The 26,767-nt window shown below is 39.0% G+C and overlaps 1 protein-coding gene across 4 annotated transcripts in view, besides 1 other annotated feature; it reads right to left on the bottom strand.

The window, feature by feature from the left end:
- ADAMTS16 (ADAM metallopeptidase with thrombospondin type 1 motif 16) overlaps positions 1–26,767 on the bottom strand; it is a 179,975-nt gene that overhangs the window by 106,374 nt on the left and 46,834 nt on the right. For all 4 annotated transcript variants that reach the window (NR_136935.2, XM_047416874.1, NM_139056.4 and 1 more), the window contains exons 6-10: positions 26,123–26,206; positions 23,801–23,960; positions 22,141–22,246; positions 13,662–13,799; positions 4,685–4,838 (exon numbers count right to left, since the gene is read on the bottom strand). Coding sequence is in view for 3 of the 4 variants with exons in the window: in XM_047416874.1 (XP_047272830.1) it covers positions 4,685–4,838; positions 13,662–13,799; positions 22,141–22,246; positions 23,801–23,960; positions 26,123–26,206 (642 nt within the window). In the remaining variant the exon portion in view is untranslated. The remainder of the gene's footprint in view (positions 1–4,684; positions 4,839–13,661; positions 13,800–22,140; positions 22,247–23,800; positions 23,961–26,122; positions 26,207–26,767) is intronic.
- Positions 13,917–14,433: an enhancer, noted in NCBI's record as "OCT4-NANOG hESC enhancer chr5:5199611-5200127 (GRCh37/hg19 assembly coordinates)". NCBI's record gives its function as "activates a minimal SCP1, AML or CMV promoter by ChIP-STARR-seq in naive H9 embryonic stem cells {active_cell/tissue: H9 hESC(naive)}" and the evidence as "EXISTENCE:reporter gene assay evidence [ECO:0000049][PMID:30033119]".

The following is a 26,767-nucleotide window of genomic DNA, read 5'->3' as shown; positions in this document are numbered from 1 at the left end:
GGCTGGGGGCCCCAGGTGTCTGTCTTAGGTTTTGCTGCAGGTCCTAACGGTAAGGGGTGAGCAGCTGCCACATAGGAGATTCCAGGTGTCCTAGCAGAGGACCACAGCTGCAGGCTGAAAGCTGATGAGGGCTTCAAGACAGAGGATGCATAGGGCTGGGAGAAACTAGAGTTTTGGCTCACACAGAGTAGAGAGACCTCAATGAGCATCCTGGGCATTCAGTGGAAAGCCCAGAAGTCCATGCCTCATGGGGAAGAACCACACACGAGAGTACCGGCTACACCACAGGGCCCAGAGAAAACTGAAAGCGATGAGCCCTAATGAAGAATAAAGCAAAGTCTTCGGGGATCAAAAGGACTCACCTTATATGTAATAACATAATATAATAGAAGTATCTATAACATAAAATAATATACTATTCAAGGAAAAGTAGAGATAAATGAATAAATGGGAAAATGCAGAAGATAAACAGAAACTATAAAAAATGGAATTCTGGAACTAAAACTTACAATAAGCCAAAGGTATATTTCACTGATTTATCCAAACACTTTTCATCTTCAAAACTGAGGATGAATTCATGACATTTTCAGATAAAGAAAATTGGAGATAATTTGTGGCTAGCAGATACGTGCTAGAATAAATGCTAAAGGAAGTTCTTTAGGCCTTAGGGAAATGATACCACTTTGAAACAGACCTATAGGAAAACATAGATACTAAACAATAAATATAAAAGATGGTTTAATTTCTTGTCTTATTTAAAAGCAGCTATTTTTAAACAAAAACTACAACATTGCATTTTGTTGCATTTAATTTGCAGAGAAATGAAATATATGTCAATGATAGTGCAAGGAAGAGGGATGCATGGATTTATTTGTTGTAAGGACCTTGCATTTTGCACGAAGTGGGCACAAAGTTAATTCTACATAGACTCTAAATTAGGGATGCATGCGGTAATCTCTAAAGCAACCACTATCAATTAACATAAGGAAGTACAGTTAAAAAGCAAGTCAAGGTAAAATACTGAATTTAAAAAATAGTTTAATCTAAAAGAAGGCAGAAGAAAGGGAACAGAGAAACAAAATAGAAATGAGACTAATAGAAAACAAATAGTAAAACAGTAGATTGAAATCTACTATATAATTTTTACATTCAATATAAATAGACTAAACATGCTGGTAAAAGGTCAGAGTTTGTTTCAATGAACAGAAAAGCAATACTAGGCAAAAGGATGTTTACAGCAGACACATTTTATATAAACACACACATAAATTGAAAGCAAAAGAATGGAAAAAGTGATCATGCAAAGAGCAATCCTAAGTGAGCTGATGTGGCTATATTAGTATCAAATAAGTAGAAATCAAGCAAAGTAATATTACCCAACAATAAAGGAGGGTATTTTACAACGAGAAAAGAGTCAGAAGACATAGCCATCCTAAATGTATGTGCACCGAATTATGAAGCTTCAGAATATATAAAACAGAAATTATCATGATGTCAGATCGAGACCATCCTGGCTAACATGGTGAAACCCCGTCTCTACTAAAAATACAAAAAAATTAGCCAGGCGTGGTTGTGGGCACCTGTAGTCCCAGCTACTCCGGAGGCTGAGGCAGGAGAATGGCGTGAACCCGGGAGGCAGAGCTTGCAGTGAGCCAAGATCGTGCCACTGCACTCCAGCCTGGGTGACAGAGCAAGACTCCATCTCAAAAAAAAAAACAAAACAAAACAAAACAAAAAAAACCCCAGAAACTAATAGTACTAACATGAGAAATAGAAACATACGTAATAATTGCTGGAGATTTTAACACTCATCTTTGTAAAACTGGTGGAACAAGTAGGAAATATGATGGATGATGCAGAAGATGTAAGAAATATTATTTAAAAAACAGTTATTTCTTGAATATTCTACCCAACCACTGCAGAATTTATATTCATGTCAAGTCTCCACAGAATGTTCACCAAGACAGATCATAGGCTAAGCTATGAAATATGTGTCAATACATTTCAAAAGTACATGTAGAGTATATTCTCTGAACAAAATTATGAAATTAGAAATCAAAACTAATAAGTTATCTGGAGAATTATTTGGCAATTAAATAATATTTAATATATTTCTACGTAATATGTTGGTTAATGAAATTACCAGTTAAATTAGAAAATATTTTTGCTTAATAATATTAAAAACCCAGTATGTAAACATTTTCAGGATACAGCTAATGTGCTTAGAAAGACATTAATAGCTCTAAATATATTAAATGGTTATATTAGGAAAATAAGAAAGGTTTAAAGTCAATGATTCAAGCTGCTACTTCAAAGGGCACGAAAAAGACAGGCATACTAGCCTTGGAATATAATAAAGACAAGACAGAACTTAGTGAAATAGAAAAGAATCCAACAAACAAATTTTACAAATTAACATTAAGCCCAATATTGATGCTTTTGAAAGGATTAATATGATAAACTCCTAACTAGACTGATAAGAAAAAAAGATTTAAAAATACATATTATCATTATGAGGAATGAAAGGGGATATATCATTATAGATCTTACAGTAATTAAAGGAATTCATAACCATTCATTGAAAAAATATCTCCTTTAGTGTCACTTTTAATGATTTCTTTACTTTTTCCAATGAAATTGATCAGTCTAGTTAGGAGTGTCTTCTGAATAACCCTTTATCTATTAGTGTAGTTGAATCAGTAATTACAAAAACCTTTCCATAGACAGAGCTCACTGGTGAATTCTAATCAACATTTAAGGAAGAAACAACACCAATCTTTTACAAACTCTTCCAGAAAACAGAAGAGGAAGGGATACTGTCAACTGATTTTATTAGGTCAGCACAACTCTGATAATCAATTCTTGAAAATAAATTATGAGAAAGAAATTTCCCAATAATATCAATCAAGAACACAAATGTAAAAATCATGAGCAAATATCAGCAAATCAACTCAGCAGATTATAAAAATGAACAATAGATTACGACCAAGTGAGGTTATCCCAGGAAGGCAGATTGACTTGACATTCAAAGTCCAATGGAAAAAACTAAAGATCAATCAAAATAATTCACCACATTAATAGAACAAAGGAGGAAACAATATAACTATATCAATAGACGTAGGGAAAGATTTGACAATATTCAACACAATTGTGTGATAAAATCTCTGAACGAATTGGGATTAGAGATGAACTTCCTCCTCAGTTTGATAAAGAGTATCTGTATAAAAACCAGCAGCTAACATCATACTTATTAATGGTGAAATATTATACAATTTACTTTTAATGTTACTATATGGAGCAAGGTAATTATAACATTCAAGAGCAGGCAACATTTAGCAATTATGATAGAAATGAGAATAATTGTTACTGGAGTCAGGGAGGGGTTGAAGGAGGGGGCACAGGGAAGGTTCTGGCTTATGCAAATAAAACGTGTCTTGATTAAGATGCCAGTAACATGTGAGAATACATTTGTTAAAATTCAAATTGTACATGTAAAATGAATGTGTTTCTCTCCATGTAAATATGTCCTCAATAATAAAAATGCACCTTGCATCTAACTTTTCATTGCCTATGTTTTCCAAATGACAACAGGGCACCATGAATGACACAGTCCGTGGTCACAAAGCTAACTACCATGGAAACCAGAAGCACAATCTAGAAGATCCTATCTTTGAAAAAAACCCATTAGTTTTATGTCCATTTTCCTTAACAAACAGAAGAGTAACACTAAAAAAAAAATTTCTCAGGGAATTCACATCTTCTGCCCATAAGAAAAGGCAGTATTGAGAATGTCTGCTGCTGCTGACGGATTTACAGATCTTGTTCCAGTCTGGGACTCCCCAGCTGAAGAGATAAGGATCCAGTTCTGGCACATAGCTGGAATTGATCTTTGGGGGAGCTCTGCTTGACTTTAGAAGAAAGATGATTATCACGTTAGATTTAAGTTGGGAGTATTCCCAATGCATTTTGAAATGTTTGGAAGTTTCTGGAGGATTATATTTTTCTCTAATTTCTTCTTGATTTTATTATAAACTAGAATAAAAGAAACCTTAAAAATAGTTACTTTTATTTAATTTATGGGTAGCTTTTCCTGTGTTTGATAGAGCAGGTTCCTAAATCTCGATTTTCCCTTTCTAGCAAGAGCATATGTCTCTGTGTTACATGAGCAATTTCTGTTACTAAATCACTCTGGTAAAGTTCCTGGGGTTGACGGAGTAGGTATTACCTTCTATGAGAGACAACTCTATAAATACCTTGTTTGAGGGAAATTTATTAATCAGTAGCCCTAGGTAAGCTGCTGCTTTATAGTAAAGTATGCTTATATTGGGAGAGAGGAGGGGGACTTCGTTTTTTTAAAATCATTTAAAAAAATGCAGAGTATTAATTTGCCAACTTACACTGACTAAAAGTTATTGCTGAGCTCCCACACGATAAATCAGAAAGAAAGATCCAACCTAACAGGCCAAGTCGGTTCTCAAATGAAAACTGATACCCACAACAGTATCTCCTGTCGTCTTCTTTGCCAGTGAAACATGTGTTTCCCGTTATACAGGACCAGCCTTAACATACAGGATTTGACATTTGGTAGGTACCCAATAAATGCAGAATATATCAACATCAGTTACACTAAATAAAACAGTCTTATGAATCATGTTGCATTGAGCATGTGCCAATAATCACTTGCCTTTTTAAAGTCCAGCATGCAGAGCTTGGCTTTCTCTCCGAACTGCCACTTGCACTGTGTGTTTGCATCATATAATTCTCCTGGCAATTTCTCAGGATACTTGTATTCCTTCACAGGCTTTGGCTGATCAGCAAGGCAGATAGCTTGAGCGGTGCTGAAACAAAGAGGAGATGAGCTACTAGTAACTGCCCGTAGAGTAACCAAAGGACTTACAACTAATTATGCCTTTCTCCCCCATGTAATTTTACAACATATATTGTGTATACAAAGAGGAGAACTTTTTTTCTCCTGAGTTACAATATAATACTTATCTTAATTATATTTAAATACAGAGACTCCATTTTCTGAAATTGTTTATTATACATTGTACCTGTTCCAGGGAGACGATTTGTACTTATTAAATTTCTTAAACTTATCATGAGGAAAAGTGCAACTGAATAATTACAACCAGTGTTCAACATGAGAAGCTCTTATGATGGACATCTTTTATGCACACTTCTTGGCAGAATCAACCAAAAGATGGGCATTATAAAAATAAAACATACTCTATTTCAAAGACTGGAACTTTCTTTGTTTCTTTGCTTTTCATTCTTTTTCCCTCTAGGCTAGGGGACATGTATATTATCTTCGAGATTGTAGAGGTTCTTCCTGGATCACTGGATTTCCACCAGCAATGCTCTGTGCTCAGGATGATTTCTGATGACCCCCAAGTCAAGCAGAAAATTAACCTTGCTGAAATCATTGGTAGATGGCTAAAGAACAAGTAATAATTTCTTTTTCCATAAATAGATTATCCTCTTCTCTTCCAGGATGTTCTTTGGTATAATTTATGCATTTGGGAAAGTGTATTTAAACATTTTTGTGTTTTCAAATAGCAACTAAATCCCTCCTACAAATTTCAATAGGCCCTTCCCTGAGAAAACCAAAAAAACAAAAACCTAGAATCACAATACAATGAGCAATGGCAGATCATCCTCCAAACTTGGCTCTGAGTGGTTGTCCACCTTGACTGGAAGATTTCTGGCTCATTTCTAGGACCCCCAGTCCCACGTTCCACTGCTTCAGAGCTCAGGACTCCGTGCATAAAAAGCAACATATAGCCCAGATGGGTTCTCTGTGAATTATACCAGAGATTAGGGAAGAACTTATACCAATTCTCTACAATCTCTTCCAATAAATTGGAGCAGAGGGAATACTTTCTAAATTTTAAGATGAGGTCAGCATTATCCTAATACCAAAACCAGACAAACATAGTACAAGAAAAGAAAGCTTTTCTTATCTCTCATAAACATCGATACAAAAATTCTCAACAAAATGTTAGCAAATTGGATCCAACAATGCATGAGAAGAACTATATACTATGACCAAGTGGGATTAATCCTAGGTCTGCAAGGTCTGTTCAATATTCTAAAGTCAATTAATGTAATCTATTACATCAATAGGCTAAAGAAGAAAAACCACACGATCATATCAACAGATGAAGAAAAAAACCATTTGATAAAATTTAACACTCATTCATGATAAAAAAAAAAAAATCCCAGCAAACTAGGAATAGAGGAGAACTTCCATCTACAAAAAATATAGTTAACATTATAATTAATGGTGCGAAACTTAAAGCTTCTCCACTAAAATCAGGAACAAATAAGAATGACTCCTCTTACCACTCCCTTTCAACATTGTATTGGAAGTGCTACCTAGTGCAATAAAGCAAGAATATTACATAAAAGGCATACAGACTGGAAAAGAATAAATAAAACTATCTTTGTTCATAGATGACATGATTGTCTAGGTAGAAATTTGAAAGAATCCACCAAGCAACTCCTGGAACTAATAAGTTACGGCAAAGTTGCAGGATAAAAGCTTAATATGCAAAAGTCAATTGCTTTTCTATATGCCAGTGACAACCAAACAGAATTTATTGAAAATTAGAAACATGTCATTTATATTAGCAACCAAAAATGAAACAGATATAAATGTAGCAAAATATGTGCAAAGCCTACATGAGAAAAATCTACAAAACTGATGAAAGAAATCAAAGAAAAACTAAATAGAGAGATATTTCATGTCCATAGATCAGAAGACTCAATCTTGTCAGGAGATTAGTTCTTCCCATTTTAATCTATAGCTTCATTGCAATGTCAATCAAAACTAAAGGAAGTTATTTTGAGGATATAAACAAACTGATTCCAAAGTTTATATGGAGAGGCAAAACACTTAAAATAACCAGAGCAATACTGAAGGAAGAGAACAAAGACTGACAATACCTAACTTCAAGACTTACTATAAAGTTACAAAGAATGGACAAATAGATCAGTGGAACAGTATAGAAAGGCCAATAATCCACCCACATAAATATAGTCAACTGATCTTTGACAAAGGAGCAAAGGCAATGGAATGGAGAAAAGATAGCCTTTTAAACTGATCATACTGAAACAATTGGTCATCTACACGTAAAAAAATTAATCTGCCGGGCGCGGTGGCTCACACCTGTAATCCCAGCACTTAGGGAGGCTGAGGAAGGTGGATCAGTTGAGGTCGGGAGTTCGAGACCAGCCTGGCTAACATGATGAATTCCTGTCTCTACTAAAAATACAAAAATATTAGCCAGGCATGGTGGTGTGCATCTGTAATCCCAGCTACTCAGGAGGCTGAGGCAGGAGAATCGCTTGAACCCGGAAGGCAGAGGTCACAGTGAGCCGAGATCATACCACTGCACTCCAGTCCGGGTAACAGAGTGAGACTCCATTTCAAAAAATAAAATAAATAAATAAATCTAAAAAATGAATCTAAAGGCAGATCTTTTTTTTTTTTTTTTTTTTTTGAGACGGAGTCTCGCTCTGTCGCCCAGGCTGGAGTGCAGTGGCGGGATCTCGGCTCACTGCAAGCTCCGCCTCCCGGGTTCACGCCATTCTCCTGCCTCAGCCTCCCAAGTAGCTGGGACTACAGGCGCCCGCCACTACGCCCGGCTAATTTTTTGTATTTTTAGTAGAGACGGGGTTTCACCGTGTTAGCCGGGATGGTCTCGATCTCCTGACCTCGTGATCCGCCCGCCTCGGCCTCCCAAAGTGCTGGGATTACAGCCGTGAGCCACCGCGCCCGGCCAAAGGCAGATCTTATACCCCATACAAAAACTAACTCACAATGGATCATACAGCTAAATATAAAATGCACAACTACAGAACTTCTAGAAAATAACATAGGAGAAAATCTAGGTGACCTTGGATATGACAATGGCTTTTTTGATACAACATCAAAGGCATAATCAATGAAAGAAATAATTGACAAGCTGTACTTCATTAAAATAAAAAATGTCTGCTCTGTGAAATAAATGTCAAGAAAATGAGAAGACAAGACACAGAGTGGGAGAATATATTTGTAAAAGACATAGCCAATAAAGGGCTGTTACACAAAGCATATAAATAACACTTACAATCCAAGAACAAGAAACAGTAAGAATAACAACAAGAATAACAAAAAGTGGACAAAAATCTGAACAGACACCTAATCAAAGAATATATAGATGGCAAATAAGCATATAAAAAGATCTCAACATCATATGTCATTAGGGAATTGCAAAGGCAAACATCAGTGAGACACCACTACACACCTCTTAGAATAGTGAAAATCCAAAACACTGACAATGTCAAACACTGATGAGAATGTGGAGAAACAGGAACTCTCATTTACCTCCAGTGAGAATGCAAAATGGTCCAACCACCAAAAGTGTGGGTGCAGAAAGGAAAATCATTGCAACCATTTTATAATCAATCGACCACAATAACCACATGGATAAAATGAATGTTGACTTTTTGCATGCCATATACAAAAATTAAGTGGTCTACATGTGATAAGCAAACAATAAAACTTGTAGGAGATCATGTGGAAGAACACCTTTGCAACTTTGGGACAAGTAGAGCTTTTTTTTTTTTCTTTTTTTCCAGCAGTGTACAAAAGCACCAACCCTAAAGACACATTAATAATTTGGATTCCATTAAAAAAATAAAAATTTCTGTTTAGCAAAAGGCACCATTAAAAGTGTAAATAAAAAGTCACAGAGTCAGAGAAGATTTTATAATACGTATATTCCAGAATGGGACAAAATGTTTATACTCAGAATGTATACAATACTCTCACCAAGAGAGAAGAAAAAAAACAGGGTCTATTTTTTTTACATGCACAAAAGATTATAGCACTTTACTAAAAAGGAAAAGGTTATTCAAGTGGCCATTAAACATATAAAATGTATTCAATCTTATTAATTAATACATTGATATGAAACTACACACCCACCAGATACCTAAAATGAAAAATATCAACGTGACCAAGTGTTGGGAAGGATTTGAAACCATTTTGAAAGTTTCACAAATGCTTCTGGGAGTGTAACTTCACACAGCTACTTAGGAAAGCTGATTAGTACTGTCTATTGCACCTGTGCTTATACATTTATGACTCTGAAAATTCCATTCCTATGTACACTCAAGACACATATGCAAACCAAGAGAATATTCACAGTGCTGTTCCTTGTAATCGCCAAAAATTGGAAACTCAAATGTCTATCACCAACAGAATGAATGAATAAGTTTTAGTATATTTATATATTTAGTATATAAATTATATGCAACATAACTAAGTAGACTAATGCTATATTTAGATGCAGCAACAAGGATGAATCTCATAACTGCACAAGGGTGCATAACTCCTGATTCCAATACACAGGGTTCCATGTCAGGATGGTGGTTACCTTTGGGGAAGAGCGGAAGCCCTTGGAGTGGGGAGAAGCAGCTTCTAAAGTCCCTACCACACTCTGTATCTTGATCTGCATAGAAGTTAGTTACACTATTGCGTTCATCATGCCAAAATTCATTGAGCTGTAGGCACTCTTATAATTTTGTACTTTTCTGTATATATTTCGTACCAAAACAAAAATAATGTTAATGAACACATTAAGGAAGGTCAAAAGTATCATTACAACATTTCAAAATCCCTTTCCCACTCTAAGTGGTGAATCAAAAAATGTTAAAGAGCTTGAGAGATCTTTTAGTTATATCCCATCATTTTTCAGTTAAGAAGACTGAGGCCCTCAGAAAAGGTTATATTACCCACCAAAGACCTTCCCAGACATGCGTGAACAAGACATGAACTGATTCCCTCGGTCCTTCTCTCCTCCGCAGGAAAGTGCCTGCCCTCTAGTCTTAGAGTCACCCTGGCACTGCAGAGACAACAACTGGCCATGATTTAAGATGAGCTTTGTATCACAGAGCAGTGTGTGACTCGAAATGTATTATTTCCATTATGCACAAAAACACACTTAATGGGCTGTCAGGTCAGATCTCATTTTCCCATCAACAGAAGTAGTATGGGGTACGGCGCCGCTTACACTCCAAGTTCCCTGCGATGATGGTCACCTTTCTCATGCTTTGATGTGTTCAGATTCACGTGGTCAGAGAGCTGGCATTTTCACTGATCTGCAGGGCATGATTTAAATTTTTAAAAAGTAACTGAAGATGAGTCCCTGTTGTCATGAAATTTAAAATAATGAGCTAAAATTTCCCTAAGTCACAGGCCTCCTGGATGCAGACATGAGTAATGTGATGAGGTCTGTGTCGGTTAATGGAAAATGACACATGACTTTATTGACTAGGTTGATGAATTCACTCCAAAAAACTATCAAGCCTTCATAACTCTACCAAGAATAGAGAAGAGTTGTGCTGAAAACTTCAGGCCAATTGAGTTCCCTTACATTTTTTCCCACTATCAAATGCTAGACTACTAATAAGGAGAACAGATTCATCTTAAAAGGTAGCCATTTATCCTTGCTCATTGTTGGGATCATATCCAAAGAGCCACCTAATTGGTGGAGAATATAACAGTATTTTGATTACTTGGAAATCAGAAAGTCAGCAAACAATCAAACAAGACAGTCTCAGATTCATTAAGTCAGTGAAAAATCAAGATTTAACACACTATAGAAGTGTCCAATTTGCAACTGGTTTTCGAGTAAAATGAATCTTAATAGTGAATTTAACAACAAGAGACTTTCTTGGAAAATTTCACCATTCAAGAAAACAAATCTGTAAGCACGTAAAACCTTACCTATTTATTTATACTCATGTGGTCAAAAGAAATTGGTAAAGTCCCTGAAAATAAATGTTTATCATTGAAATGCTACAGTAGTGTTTTGCTGGATGCACACAAAAACACATCAGCACACTTCAACTTATAGTTCAGGTGTTCCAGTATCATAGAAAGAAAATGGCTTTTAATTCCAGTACCTTAATAATCATTCTTAGGACTATATTATGTCTTCAAGATGGCATTCTATTTTCAACGTCCTCAAAATAATTATTCCCCGAGCATGTAATTATCTTCTTTCCATGAGTCTGCCTATATTTCTTGGCAGTTTCAAAACTTTTTTTGGACTTTAATAACTTGGGTGTTCTCACTACACACCCAAATTATAATCCCCTGATTTTTTCAGTTGTCAGAGGATATTTCAAAATAGAAAAAGTGTTACTGTATCTTCCTCATAACGATTAAGATGAAAAAGAGGTTTAAAAAATTCTGAATCTAGAAAACTATAGAAAGGATCTGGAATATAGAAAACTCCGAATTTTCCTTGTTAATGCAAATAACAGCATGGTGAGCCTAAACTGAATAATCTTCCTTGTTACCCAGAGTAGAATTTCTACACACACACAGAGAGAAAAATGTGAACAGCTGCAAGAAACAGCTAAAAACAATGCTAACAATCCCCAGCTTGACTCTGAGAATACCATGCAGGGAAAAACAAATGCTAAATGTACTCCTATGCATCATGTCAGTTGTAGAATAGCTTTAACATTGTCTTTTTTTGGTAATATAATTTTTTTTTAAAAAATGATCAAGTGTATATTCCCAGAATACAGGTTTATATTACCAAGATACACATATCGTCCAAACTGTTGCCACTTATGCTGGGTGGCATAAACTATGAAACACAGTTGTTCCTTAATGTGTTAACATACTTTAGTCCTTGGAGGAGGAACACCAAAAAGGAGGAAGCTAGAGGAACACAGCCCCTGGAGGCTGATGATCAAAATCCTGGCTGGGAAGATGGGAAGCCAGGATCCCTAGAGAATGAAGGAAGACGCAGCCATAGGGGCAATCCAGCCCCAGGTGAGCCCTGGGGCAACAGACCACCAGAAAGTACACTGGAGTAAAACCAACAGAAGTACTGGTGTGATCCTGCTACTCAAATAGTGTCTTAGAAATAAGAAGACTTAATTTGTGCAACAGAAAAAAAGAGCTCTATTAATTAAATATATGAATAAAAAAGGAAGAAAGAAAACAAAAAAAAGGTAGGACACAAAGAAGTAAGGTCAGTGAAAGGAACCAGAGAGGCCGGTTGAGAACTGAAGAGTCTACAGGATCTAATAGGATAGGGGAACTTTGTTCTTAGTTCTCAGTTTGGAATAACTAGTTCCTAGTTTTGACTGCAAAGACATGTACATTACAAAGACTTGGAAGGCAGATAATCTCGTTTCCTAGCCTGGGGACTTCTTGGGTGCTGCTAAGCTATTTTTTTCTTCCACCAAACCTGCTGGAATCTCCCTGGAGATTATTTCATTGGTGCATGCAAACGTCTAAACTCATCTTACTGTATACGTTAAATATGTGTAGTTTTTGTGTATTAATTTTAGCTCATTAAAGCTGTTACTTAAAAAAAAAACCCTTTGCTTTTGTTGGAAGTATTAGTATTTGCCCTACTTTTTAATAATAGAAATATAATTCTTCTTGTCAAATTTCAAACTTTCCTATCACAACTAGCTAGTTCCTTAGAATCTATACATTTGTGCCCTTCCCTCTGTTCTTCATTTTAAAATTTTTATTTGCTTTTTTAAATTTTTAAAAATATTTTTATTTACTTTTCTGCAATAGGATTTGGGGTTCATCATGTGGCACAGATGGCTCTCTGTCACCTGAGCACATGGGTAGAGGACATTTCTCAATGCCCCTTGCACTTCTGGGCAGTCATATGAGTTCCTCCAGGAACACCACCCTTGTCCCGCACACCCTCCTGTGCTCTCTCTGTCCTCAGTCCCCGGATGGCTGCAGTGGGGAACTAGGTCCTGGAAGAGGAAAGGTCACAGGATGGAAGAAACCTGGGTCTCTGAATGACTGTGTGGAGCAGAGACTTTCCAATTCACACTGGACTGTAATGTCAGAAATAAAGTTTTGGCTTAAGATTTAAACCAAACTTCAAACTCAAAGCCAAAGAGATTTAGGGAACAAGCATATAAACTAGCAGTTCTAAGAACGTTTCATAAAGTTCCTCATTTCTCTGAAATTTTCAAATCTACTATTTTTCAAGGATCAAACCCTACCTCCCCAATGTTTTATCTCCTAAATAAATTAGTGCTTAGAGAAAATTTCTAAAAATATTATTGAAGATTACAGAATATTAGAGCTAGGTTAAAGTTTATATACTCAAGTTTCTTCACCTAATGAGGAATGCATTTAGTAAAAAGAAAGAAAGTGAGAGAGAAAGGAAGAAAAAGAAAGAAAGAAAAGGAAGGAAGGAAAAGAAAGAAAAAATAAAGAGAAAGAAGAAAAACCAAAAAAAGTTATGCTTTATTATTGTGTATACAGATGTGTACATGTACGATCTTTCTATTCACTTCCTGAAGATTCCTAATTATGGAAGTGAGAATTGTAAAACTTAAATGTTAGTGACAAATATTTTGGTAAGTGTCTTATGGCTCCCTTTTAGTCTCAAGTCATTGATTCCCTTTGAATCAATGTCAGATTAAGCCAACAGGCCTCCATGCTCTAAGGAGATTTTTAGCAAACTCTTCGGTCAACTGAATGTCTCAAGACACCTTCAAAGGGAACCACATCAGGAAGCACAGCCTGGGGCTGCTTGCACAGGATCTGGCTGACCAGGCAGTGAGCATCAAAGGCCCCGAAAGATCACAAGACCAGCTTAAAGAGTTCCTACCTTAGAAATTTGTGTAGATACTGGCGGCTGCAGGGTGACCAGGAGAAGACTCCATTGCGTCCTGCCAATGTAGGGGACATGATGTTGCCCTCGGACTTTTTGCACATGTTCCCTTCTCCATCATGAATCATGCCAAAGCTATGAGAGAGAGAGAGAGAGAGATGGTTCTTTCAGAACAAAAACAGTTTAAATTATCTGATACCCTCTAACAATTACAAGTCAAGACTGTGAGACTCCCTCACCCCTATATGCTAGGCAGGCAAAAATAAAAGTCACAACTGCCAATTGGTTAAGAATATTCACGTATTCCAAGACAGTTTCTGAAGAATGGACCATCCACCAAATTGCCTCAAAGTGTACACCAATATCATAGAAATGTCCAGATGCCTGCGTATTGAATGGGGTGGAGGGACTTGGGATCTTCTTGATTAGGCTAACACTGCTCTATGTAGCTTCTTTTTCTCCACACTCTTTTCTGCTCAGCAGGATCGTTAGAGTTTCCATGGGTGTTCGTTAGAAATGTAGATGCCAGGCTTCTACCCAGGAATTGTTGACTCAGAAAAGAGAGATCCAGGCGTTTGAGCTGTCCAAACAAACTCCCCAGGCGAGTTTGATGCTTACTGCAATTTGAGAACTACAAACAGCTACTGCAACTAATGGTGGGCTGACATTCTGTCTCTACCCCTACCTGGGGATGTTCCATCTCAAACTATTAGGGCTGCACTGCTGGAGGCTGTGATGGGCGGGCTGTGCTTGACCTGAATCTGTCTGTCTATTTGGAGAGAGTAGCTCCACAGAAACCCAACAGGTGACTATGGCTTCATGTATTTATGGGTGTCGTTTGAAGAAGCACAGGTTACCTTCATGTGAAAACCACACCACTTTGGAGATCCACACCTGGCTCAGAGTACAGGTACATCTCAAGCTACAGCAGCTATAGGAACCCTTAATGGGGGCCATCAGAGGTGTTGAGATCCTACAATGCCAATTAACACTCCCTTAATAACACCTGAGAAAATGGAGCCGTGCACCTGTGAGAATCACATTTTCCAGGGCTGCTACCTCCGTCATCAGCAAGTCTCTTCTTCTTAACCTGTGAAAGCTGTAGGAGGGCCTTGAGTGCTCTCAAGGCTCATTTCAATGATCCCATTTTCAACTATCCCAGAAGAACACAACATACTTCCTTGGGAGCTCTTGTGGCTCTGAAGACCTCTCATTAAGGTAAATACATTCTTGCAGAGCTAAGCCACTATTGCCATTAATGTCTGGCACCCAGCCATTGTATGGATTCCCAGAGCACAGGGTCTCATGTGGTGAGATGCAGAGAAAAGGGGGAAGGCAAGAGAGAGGGAAAGCAAAGAAGGACATGGTGGTTTCTATTTATGTGGGACATTATGCTGCCAAGAATTCCATAAGGAGTGGACAGAAGGCAGCAGGGACAGGAAGACACCAGTGTAGGGGAAAGTCAGCTCCAAAAGGTGTCAAGAGAATCTGTACTTGTTGCCTAGGCTGAAGACACATTTGTCTATTTAACTGCTTTGCTTAGAGCTATTTAGTAATATATTACTAGTAAATATAGTAATTAACATTTATAAGCACGCACCATTTTACAGCTTTTATGGTACGCTTGTAACCTATATTCTAATTTAAAACTCAACACAGCTCTACAAGGTAGCTTTAATATAAAGACAGCAAGACCGAGGACTGGAGAAAGACTACATCCAGGGTTACCGAGTCAAGGCTGAAACCTTGACACTTTGATGTCACAGCCTAGCTGGGATTCATGTAATAGTGTAACCTGAACGTGATTGAAGGCGGTATCCAAGGAAATCTGGCGTGCAAATACTGCTGAATTTCTGCAAAATTCTTGATCAGTACCAAGGGTGATGTAGATGTAGTCATTTTAGCCTCCACCCATTCTCTGAAGTTCTATTAAAGGCAATTAATCAAGGCCAGGGTAACCACATGGCAGAGGAAATGTGTCATGGCTGTGAAAAAGATTCAGGCTGAAATCCTAAATGGGAGGCTGCCTTAGGGAGAAAAGGAGGAACACGAAATACCAAACTACCCTCCGCTGGCTGGCCCTTGAGCTGCTAATGAAGAAGACACATTACGGTCCAGAAATTGCCCTCGATAAACTTGCTACCGTGTCTGCCTACCTTTCTAAGGAATTCAAAGTCCACAATGTCCCAAGTCTGGGGAAATCTTGGTCTTCAACTTTTACATTTAAAGTATTTTCAATGATTTTTTTCTAGTATCAAGTCTCAAACTCTGATGCATCAACATCTGAGAGATACAGAGCACAATGTAGCTACCCAAGCCTGCAGTGGTATAGTTCTAATTTTGTGGGTCGAGGGTTAGGAGCTGGCATTTGGGTGTATTGGAACACATCCCCAGGTGATTCTGATTCCCACCAAAATCTCAGCACCACTATTTCACAATTTGTGTCTCCAATCAGTACAATGCCCACATTTGTAATGCAATGAATGCCAGCAGATCAGCATAAAAAAGTAGCACACAGTGATTACATTTAATACCACCATTAATAAAGTCACAGAAGAATGAATAGAACACATTTTGAAGATAAGGTTGCTATGTGGCAACCAAGAACTATAACTACTATTCAAATTATGCAGACCAGAGAATATATCTTGCTCCTGTGCACCATAGTACTTTAAAATGGTTATCATCCCATTTGCTAAAGTCATAAATATATTTTATCTTTTTCCCCTTACTAGTTTATAAGTTTCTAAAAGACAGAGACGCCTCTTATCCATGCTCACAGCCCCACTGCCAGTGGACTTGACAGTACCTAACAGGTTTCTATTCGTGTTTGTTAAGTGAAGGAAGGACAACCTTTTCTGCTGTAACACTAACTCAAATACCCAGACGGAAATCTAATTTCAGATTAAATTGAATTTGGGAATTATATTTCAATGTCATGCTTTTATCATCTTCTACAATATTTTTTGAGTGATTCAATTACTATTGGGAAGTATTTGTTTATTATTAATGATATACTGAGAATGCTGAATAACCAGCCAAGTGTTTGTAGAGGCTGTATCACTTATTTCAGGCTGTTCAGACAGTAGTGGTTAAGGACATGAGACATTCTTAAAGGAACCATGGGCCAATGTTATCTGGATGGCAAAGTCTACCTTTGGCATAATGATGGCGACCACAGGTAAGACTGAGCTGCCCAGAGCCCTGACGCAGGCTTCATGCAGGCATCTGGAGAAGCACAGCTCACCCTCCATGAAAGATAGAAGGCTGAGCTGAAGACAGCAGTTGCGGGGAACTGAGGGAAATGGGCAGAGAAGAAAATGGGAGACAGCATGGGCTGTGGAGGTGCAGGGACCTCAGTCAGGGTCTTGGCTCTGTCATTCACAAGCTGCTTGATATTGGGCAAATTACTTGACCCCCCCAGCCTCAGTTTCTTTATATATAAAATGGGATAGTAAAACCTTCCTCATGAACTGTACAGAATGCCTGGGACTGTGCACATCAGAAAGGAAAATTCAAAACTTCTATTCCCTTCCAGGATCCAAATGTGGTCTTGGTCAAATCATATAACACCTAAGTGCCATTCATGGTTGGTATGCATATGTGCATGCATGTGTATGGGAAGGTCTGGCCAAATATTAATGGATTTCAAATACTTGTTGGACACAGAAACAGACAAGAAATCCTAAGAGGAATGACAACAAATAAAATTGGTAAGAACTGATGCTCTGACCTACCACAGCTACCCAGAGAGCAGCCTGACAATCCCCAGTCCAGATGATGGTTAGAGGGGCTGGCTTTCTCCAATATTCTTCAAGTCTTTAAAAATCACCACATGCCTCCCTGATGCACTGGAAGAGGCCCAGACTGGTGACAAAGCACAGCCACAAATGGGGTGGAGGCACATGTCATCATCAAATACTGAAAGGGGCATCTCCAGTGACTGTGGTTGAGCTGAATGGTATTTTCAAGCTAACTACTAGTGATACCAATAGTGACACCAATGCTGCTTTTTTTTTTTTTTTTTTTGAGATGGAGGCTCTCTCTGTTGCCCAGGCTGGAGTGCGGTGGCGTGATCTCGGCTCACTGCAACCTCTACTTCCTGAGTTCAAGTTCTACTTCCTGAGGTTACTCTGCCTCAGCCTCCTGAGTAGCTGGGATTACAGGAACCTGCCACCACACTCGGCTAATTTTTGTATTTTTAGTAGAGATGGGGTTTCGCCATCTTGGCCAGGCTGGTCTGGAACTCCTGACCTCATGATCCACCCACCTTGGGCTCCCAAAATGCTGGGATTAACAGGAGTGAGCCACCACACACGGCCCAATGCTGCTTCTTTTAAGACCTCCCTGATTGTCCCTGTGTGGTCTCTTGCAATACCGACAGCTCTCATTACTTGATATCTTGCATGGCATATCTATTTATTCTTTTCTCTTAAACTTTGGAAGGGCATAGATCACTAGTCTTTTTGTAGACTCCTACACAATGCCTTGCTCTCAGAATGCAAATTGTGCCCAGTGACTGGGTCCATAAACTTGGGGAAATGCAAGAGACAGACTGATGAATAATGAATACTTCTGCACACAGTTAATATATTTGTTTTATAGCACCTCAATGGTCTCAAGTGATAATGCAACTTGGCTATTTAAGCCTATTTTATATAAGTGGAATGTACAGCTCAAATAATGCAACCTAAATTACACTTGCATATATGAGCTACGGAGCATATAGTGCTCTATTGTTTTTGCAGATCGGAAACCTAGGTAAGAGCTGTTAAGGGCACCCTCCCTGGTCACTATCAGACTGTGGTAGCACTGTGCTGATCTGGAATCTGAGTCCCAGAGCCCTACCCATCAAATGACATGACTTCCCTTAGCAAATGGGAATTTTTCAGATGGATTCATGCACAGATGACATATTCTCCCAAATGCGCAGTTCAGCCCTTGGTGCATCTGTGCCAATGCTTCAGCACCTGCCTTAGCAAACCACATGTCCTGTGTCAAGTGATTTAACATAACCAGGAAACTCTCCTTGTACCACCAGCTTAATACAAATCCTGATTCAATCCCATGTACTACAGGAGAACACATATCTCAGTTCTGGTTCCAGTCTCTCCTCCTCTCTTTCCAACACAAATCCAAACACCTGTTCTTAGTAATTTCTATTTTTAGGTCACATTCCCTAGCATAAACTACATGATATTTTGAGATTTTTTTAAAAAGTGGAACTTAGGAGGACAGATTGGATGGACACTAACTGAAATCTTTATTTGAGTTAAAGGTTAGAAACCTATGAGTTGCAGGCATGGAGAAGTACTCCTCCATCCCAAATAATGTCCTCCGAATGTAAACAGAACTGAAAAAGTAAAATTTACCTTCGAAGCAGTATGTTTTACACGTTTTTTAATAGTAAAAGTCATAATAAATTCAGAATTGCTTTTTAATTCTTGACGTACAGAACTCAAAAATTTGACTCTGCTTGGAGCTCATTGATAAAAGCAGACCGTTGATGCTCTGATGTTTGCTCCATGCATCAAACTTATCATTCCTTCTTCCAAAAATAAAACTCACTAAATACATGAACTGAACAAATGTGTTTGTCTTCAGTTTAGTTCAACTAAGATACACGGAGTTTTATCATTGAGTCTTACACATCACAGCCTTTCTCATTTGAAGTGGTGGTCACAGCTAACAATTCATTTGAAACGTTTACTCCTCACCTGTTGCTTGCTCACGCCCTGCGTCACTCATTCCCCGACTCCATTCATACACATTTGCTGAATATTCCACATAGTCTCCCCTAAGTCAGTGAAGGCGACAGAAGGAACTGTCCTGGGTGGTTTCCATGGTTTGAGCTGTATGTGAAATTGCTAGGTGAATTTTACAGAAAGTGCTCCATGAAGAGCAGACACTACTATTATCATTACCGTTACTACTATTACTATTATTGCCACTCATTTTGGCATTTAGCACATGATAGATACATATATTTTCTATTTTCTCAACATGGTCAGCAGGTTTTTCGTTGACAAGCTCCAGGTTCTCTGTCTCAGAGAACTTGAAGAAGTCAGGTGTTCAAGAAAGATCTGATACTTTCTGGCAGTTAATCCTATATTAGCAATGGGACTCTCCTTCATCCACATGCAGGGCTTATTTTTATTTTTTTTTTATACAGGGTCTCATTCTGCCACCCAGGCTGGAGTGCAGTGGTGCAATCTCAACTGACTGCAGCCTCGACTTCCTGGGCTCAGGCGATTCTCCCACCTCAGCCTCCCAAGTAGCTGGGACTACAGACGCACACCACCATGCCTGGCTAATTTTTTAAATTTATTGTAGAAATGGGGTCTTACTATGTTGCCCAGGCTGGTCTTGAACTCCTGGGCTCAAGTGATCCTCCCACCTCAGCCTTTCAAAGTGCTGGGTTTACAGTGAGCCACCACGCCCGACTGGCTTCTTTCTTTATTCACATCTAGATTCTGACTTTCCAGAAAAAATATTTTTTTCTTGTTTGGAGAAAATCTTTTTCCAACTACACCCAATTTGAGTGAGGAAAGGAAATAGTAATAATTGACTTCTAAGAAAAATAAATGCCAACACTGATACTTGCTTGACACTGAAGATCAACTGAGGGCCTTGTGTCGGATGCCTCTAGTTTAACTTAGTTAAGTTCACCACCTGCAACGGCTGGCACTGCCAATTCCCATATCTCAACTGCTTATCGAACGTTCACTGGCTAAGCCCTCAGTGACTTAAATATTTCTTGCCTTGATTGTTTAATTAAATTCAGGTATGGTTCAGAGGACAGCAGGAGCCTCATGTTGTTACAATAATGAGAGTTTTTGAAGTTTTAACTCTAGCAGACTATTAAAAATACAACTATGATTCAACTGAAAGCTTTATAAAGTGAAGGTGTAATTTTCTAAGCAATGAAATAGTCAATCATTACCTGTGGTGATGAAGGGATCAGTAATAAGATATGAAGCTTCATTTTTCAGGTCATCAGTTCACACAGCTAAAGGGTGCAGAACCTTCGTGGAATTCCATTAAACACAAGCACATGTGTATACACACGCAAACATACATGTACACGTATATGTGCGCGCGCGCACACACACACACACACACACACACTGCTTTGAACAAGTCTGAGGCCTCAGTCCATTTTCCAATAATGGATAAGTCAGCTTTGCAAAACCACAAATCACAAACACTTGCCTTGGTTTTCCTTTTGCCAATAAAATCAGGTTGAAATTTAAAAAAAATAAAAACTTATAATTCCTGGTTGTAAATTTTTCTAGGAGAAATTTCAAGTATTGTTGCAGCATAGCAGGAAAAGATTTGCATTCCAGTTGGTGGTTCTGGTATTACTCAGGGTGATTGCAGGAAGTCCCCAGCTGCTTGGGCAGGAAATGGGCCCTTGATTTTTTTATTTAACAGACGATACTTCAAGGTAAAGCAGCTCACAGAATTATTGGCCTCAGAAATTGTATTAAGAATAATAGTTTCCACAAATAATTGCTAGAAATTGTTCATTCTACAATTGTAAGCATTTCATGTAAGGTGAAAACACTAATGACCCACCGCCCATTGCTGAGACCGCCAACCTAGGACTGGCCTCTGTGTTGAGCCCCCAGGCTCGTGGGGCTCCCTGAAACTTTTATTTCCAAGCCATTAATGGTGCAGTCAGAGGTGGAATAAGGGAGGCAAATCAGTTCCTAGAGGCCTGCCTGATCTCTTGTCAGTACCCACTCTTCCAAACTCTTGCTTGGAGTACCAATGAAAAATAGCATCTCTATAAATTGTAAATACATAAATATATACAAGAACACAAACGCGAGGGTAACAGCAGGAAGCAATGGGAGGGTTGACACTGTTCTTCATCATTTAGAGTCCCCTGTTAGCAGCTAACCATGGAATGAGATCAGCCCACCAGACCACGTTCAAAACACGGGACAGAGGAATCGGGACAGATACAGCTATCCTCAATCTTAGGCACAGGTGTGTACAGGAGTGTTGGAGAAAGACCCAGGGACATGGAAACTTGTGCATTGCTGTGGCTTTCAAATGTGCACAGCCTGAGCAACACGGCGAAACCCTGTCACTCCAAAAATTACAAAAATTAGCCAAGCATGGTGGTGAATGCCTGTAGTTCCATCTATTTGGGAGGGTGAGGTAAGAGGATTGCTTGAGCCCAGGAGGCAGACATTGCAGTGAGCTGAGGTCATGCCACTACACTCCAGCCTGATTGACAGAGTGAGCCTGTCTCAAAATAAAGTAAATAAATAAAAATAAAATTTGCACGATGTGGGACATAGAAACAGAAGTCCTAAGTGACAGCATTTTATAACTGTCAATGGCATTCTCGTTGGATATATGTGAATTCCCTTCATGGACTTGACTTGATGAGTCAATATTTCCATGGAAATCATCCAGTAAGGAAAAAACTCGGGATGCCATCCTCCCATGGAGATGCACTTACTTGTGTCCAGACTCATGGGCAATGGTGAAGGCCAGTCCAAGACCTGTATCTTCATTAATCGTGCAGCTGCGATATTTACTACACATTCCACTTATGGGTGCAAATCCTGTGAAGGACAAAGATCAAAAGAACACATAGCGGTGTTGTAATAAAATAAAGCATAGTATATTTATTTTCTACCCCTTAGTGAAATTTAGTTCTTATGTTCATATGGGAAAATATGAAATGGGAAACACTTAGACAACCGTATAAAGGGGACTTGATAAGGTAGGGGAAGGGACTCCCTTCCAGGGAGCCCAAGGACTCTCTGTATTGTGGAACACAATTCATGGTTCTATGTAACGTTCGTGGTGCAGGCTCTAATTGGGGCGTGACTCTATTAGAGCCTGGGGCAGGCTCTAATAAAGCGTGGAATCTATTGCAGATGGAGGAAGGTCTTTGCCTTATTCTAAACACCTATGTTCCCAAAAGACCAAGTGAAAAGGTGCTGTAGAGAATGGGTGTGCTGGGAGGTCCCCAAGACCACCCCCAGCTTTAATGATTCACATCTGTCATAACGAGCATTTGTCACCCTCATGGTTATTATTTAATATGGCAAAAGGACACAGGGCAAAATCAGCAAAGGGAAAACACATGGGCAGAAGTCGGGGGAAACAGGCACACACGTCTAAGGGTCCTTGCCCTGCAGAGTCACACAGGATGTGCTTTCTTCCCCAGCAATGAGTCGTGGCAATGAAGGTGAATGTTGTCCACCAGGGACACTCATTAGAAACTCAGTGTCCAGGGTTTTCTCTGGGAGCTGGTCACATAGGCACCCACTGCCTAAAGTTTGCCAAAATTCCAGAACCTCAGAAGGAAACCACACTGTTTGTACACACAATTTAGGCACAATGAGCCACTCTTTGGAGGTAGGGCAGTGGGAACCATCCTACAACCTGAGTTCTCGGAGTCCAGCCAAGAGCCAACTGGGTGAGGAGGGCTGTCTAAGGACAAGCAGCCGGGACACCACGTTAACTTGCTTTTGCACAATAAGACTAACCGCTATTAAATTGGGCTTTATCTGAAAGTTTTTATAAACAAAAACCCTTCCTCCCTAGGAACTTGGGAAGAAACGGAGAGTTAGAAGACATGTTCAGCGGAATCCTGGTCAGTAGCACAGTGTTTTACACAGACCATCCGGAAAGAATCACAAAGTGCTGCCTCTACAAGTCACACCCAGCCCCGTAAATGTCTAAAACATTGCTAAGATTGAGATACAGAGAGAGAAGGGAAAAAACAGGAAATATAATCTGGTCGTAGTATCTCCACAGATACTCATCAATGTACTATTTCCACTATATAATGAGAAAGCCTTCGATCTATCCACCCCATTGGCACAAGCAGTAGAAGAAACAAAAAATATATATGTATTTATTTTGTTAGAAGAGATAGGAACTCTGGAATCTGTAAGACATTTACTTGTTCAATAATCACTCTTGATGAATGCAAGCGTACTTCTATGTTTGGCTAAAGTTTATACAGGGAAGTGAGTCTTTACACCTTCACTAAGAAGCTGCTACTGCTTATTAACAAGGAACAAGGGCAAAAATACTCAACACTGTGTCACGGCCAGGGGTGCACATTCCACACACGGTCCTCACACTCTGCTGGAGGTTCTCACCCAAAGTGTCACAGGGCTCATTCTTCCAGGAACATATATCCAGACCAGTCAGTAAGATGGCGTGGTCATGACGAGTCCCATCTTTCCCCATCAATCCAGACTGCCACTGGCAGAAGCTACTTAAGGTGTGGTCTGCGTGGTGACTTATCACCAGTCCTGGCTGTGCAAGAGACAAGGACCGAGGACCCCATGATAATGAAGAGAAAACATGTTATAATGCATTGTCATCACAGCAAACTATTATTGACCTGGATTTCAAATACATGGCTGGATCTGGATGGCATATAAGCTAACGCGTGTATTTTACGTATTCTATAAAACCCGTACAGATCCAGTGTACACACTTAGGCACGTTTCTCTGGTTCCATACATAAACAATTGAAATGTATCTGGCTGATCCTGAATGCATGTTCAATGACCCAAGAAAGATTACTTCTGTGCATGAATTTTTTGTTTTCAAAAATCTTTCAAAAACACTTTTCAAAATTAAGTAAAGCCACAGAATCATTTATACATGGCTTTGTACATACATATACAAAAACACGTCTAGATGGTGATATGTTTATCTCATAACCAAGTTAAGCAAGTGGGATTTCCAATAAATAAGTCTTTTAATACTTATTATTATAGTGTTAAATTAAATATCTTTTCTACAAAGGCAGTATATTTCTGAGAGGAGGTGGGTCAATTGGTAAAGCTTTATTTCTGGAAAATAAACTGCAACTAAAAGGAGACTTTGCAAGCCATGTTCAACCTCCTCTGTCTCCATTAGGTTCAGATAACGCAACGATGAAGTAACAGAGCGTAGAACATTGGAACTCTTGGGAACGGAAGAATTCGAGACACAGAAGAACATGCATCAGACCAGCCTGCACCAAGTTATTTGAACCTTATTCACCGGCATGCTCTAGTTTCCTATGGCTGGTGGGACAACACCAGGTTTAATTACCTCAGCTTCAGGACACTGGCTTGTTTAAAGCTTGCACTGTTAGGATGTCGTATTGAAATTTTTGTCTCTCAGACACTGAATATGTTTTCTCCTGAAATGTTTATGTTGTTTTTACAGAAAGTCAAATATACCCAAGCAAAATGCTACACACAAACACGGGGGCAAGCCTTGCGTTCTTTAGCAGGTGATTTCCAGGAAAACTGCATTAATTAAAGTTAACACAGGTGTACGATCAAACGATAACCTCGCTTATTCTTTGCAGCTTGGATGAATTCCAAGGTGAAGAGGTTTTAATACCAGGAATAATTAACCTGTCACCTGAGAAGCCCGGCATGTTCAGCAACCCCCTCCCCAACTGCGCACTCACACAAAAGACAATGAGGTTGTATCTTCCCTGACTAGTCAGACTAGAAATAGCCCTGTCCACACATGCCCCCACCATGCACAGAAAAAGAGCAGCATCCCAGAACTTTAACATCGAAGGCATCTTAGATCTTATGAATGATCTCGGGTTTCATCTAAAAAATTCTTTGTTTTATAAATAAGAAAACTGTAGCTAAAAGGAGACTCTGAAAACGTCAGCAAGGGTGGAGCTGAGGCTGGGCTCTTGGCTCCTGTCCAGTACCCACTCTCCTTTGCCCAGTCAATGATTAGCTTGGGGAAAAATGGAAATGAGAACATTTTGTGCCTAAAATGCCTCCCCATTACTTAGGCCACAAGGTGTTCATGTCCATCCTTTCTGTGAAGGGACCACCTCTATGCATTTACGGGGGTCCCAAATGAAGGCAAAGGATCTTTAACCCACTGCTACCAAGACCCAGCATAATCTGGGTTTTTGCATGCAGTGAGGGAAATGCGCTTGAAAGTCCATAGAAATCTCAATAAAAATAAAAAATCTCAGACTGTAGATGGTGAAGGTTAAGAGCTGGGAGATAATTGAATAAAGCAACACAGGGCCACACAGTACAATGTAACTTCAAGACCACAAAACATTTATACTCTCCTAGCAAGAAGCAGAAAGGGCTCATTCCCACTGGCATCCTGAAAGCTCACGATGGCTAAGATATATTTTGTGCTGTGTATTCCTAGTGTGTGTCCCACCTATATGCTGAAGGCAGCTTTTACATGCCATTTTCTTACAGGCCAATTAAAGGATAATTTCTTACCACTTTTGCACAAAAAACCCCACAAAAAATCCAAAAAACATTTAAAAGGATTGAAAAGACACTCATTTGCAGTAGACACAAAATATTAAATACATTTTGCCCTCGAGAGAGAAGAACCCATAGAACAATTATATTAAAGAAAAAAGCATTATTTTGCATTTATTTTTCTAGGAATAAAAAGAGTAGATAGTTTCAAAGATAAACTACCTGTTCATCTTCTAGAAGAATCAGACCTACAATTGCAATGTTGATGTTTCCTCCTATTGTTCCATCTTTGAATAAAGCAGATACCTGAAAAAGACAGGAAATCCATGTCAGCCCCATAAATGGCATTTTCCCCCCTACTTACTAGCGGGCCTAGAATCCAACGCCCTTGTTCTTCAGTGACAGAGCACTGTTAACTTTCTTGTATTGCTAGGCAGACAGATGTATTAATCATATCACGGTAAAAAGCCGAAGCTTCAGCTGGGAGTGGGGTCCACCTCTTACGGTCAAACACCTAAGAAAGGATCACAAGGCTGTGGGTTGGTAAGGGTTCCCCTTAGAATATAAAGAGGATTTTTAAGCTAATCATGATGATGACAGAAGCCAATCACTTCTCAAGCTCTCCTGGCAAGGAATTCCATAAGTGCAAGAGAAACTCTCGCACTTATGGGATTCCAAGAGGATACAAGAAAGAGAAAGAAAAAATCATGGTAATGAGATGATGAGAGAAAGACACAATTAGAGGTGATATCAGAGGTGATGGATCATGGAAATGGAAATGAGTGATCACAGTGGCATTTGGGGTGGGGAGCAGGAACAGCACGTCCACCATGGAATGTAACCTGAAGTGATTTGCCACTGCGCTGC

The sequence above is a fragment of the Homo sapiens genome, chromosome 5 (genome assembly GCF_000001405.40).
Source record: "Homo sapiens chromosome 5, GRCh38.p14 Primary Assembly".
Taxonomy (NCBI): domain Eukaryota; kingdom Metazoa; phylum Chordata; class Mammalia; order Primates; family Hominidae; genus Homo; species Homo sapiens.
The sequence above is the reverse complement of the archived record's forward strand: the minus strand, read 5'-3'. Positions and strand labels throughout refer to the sequence as shown.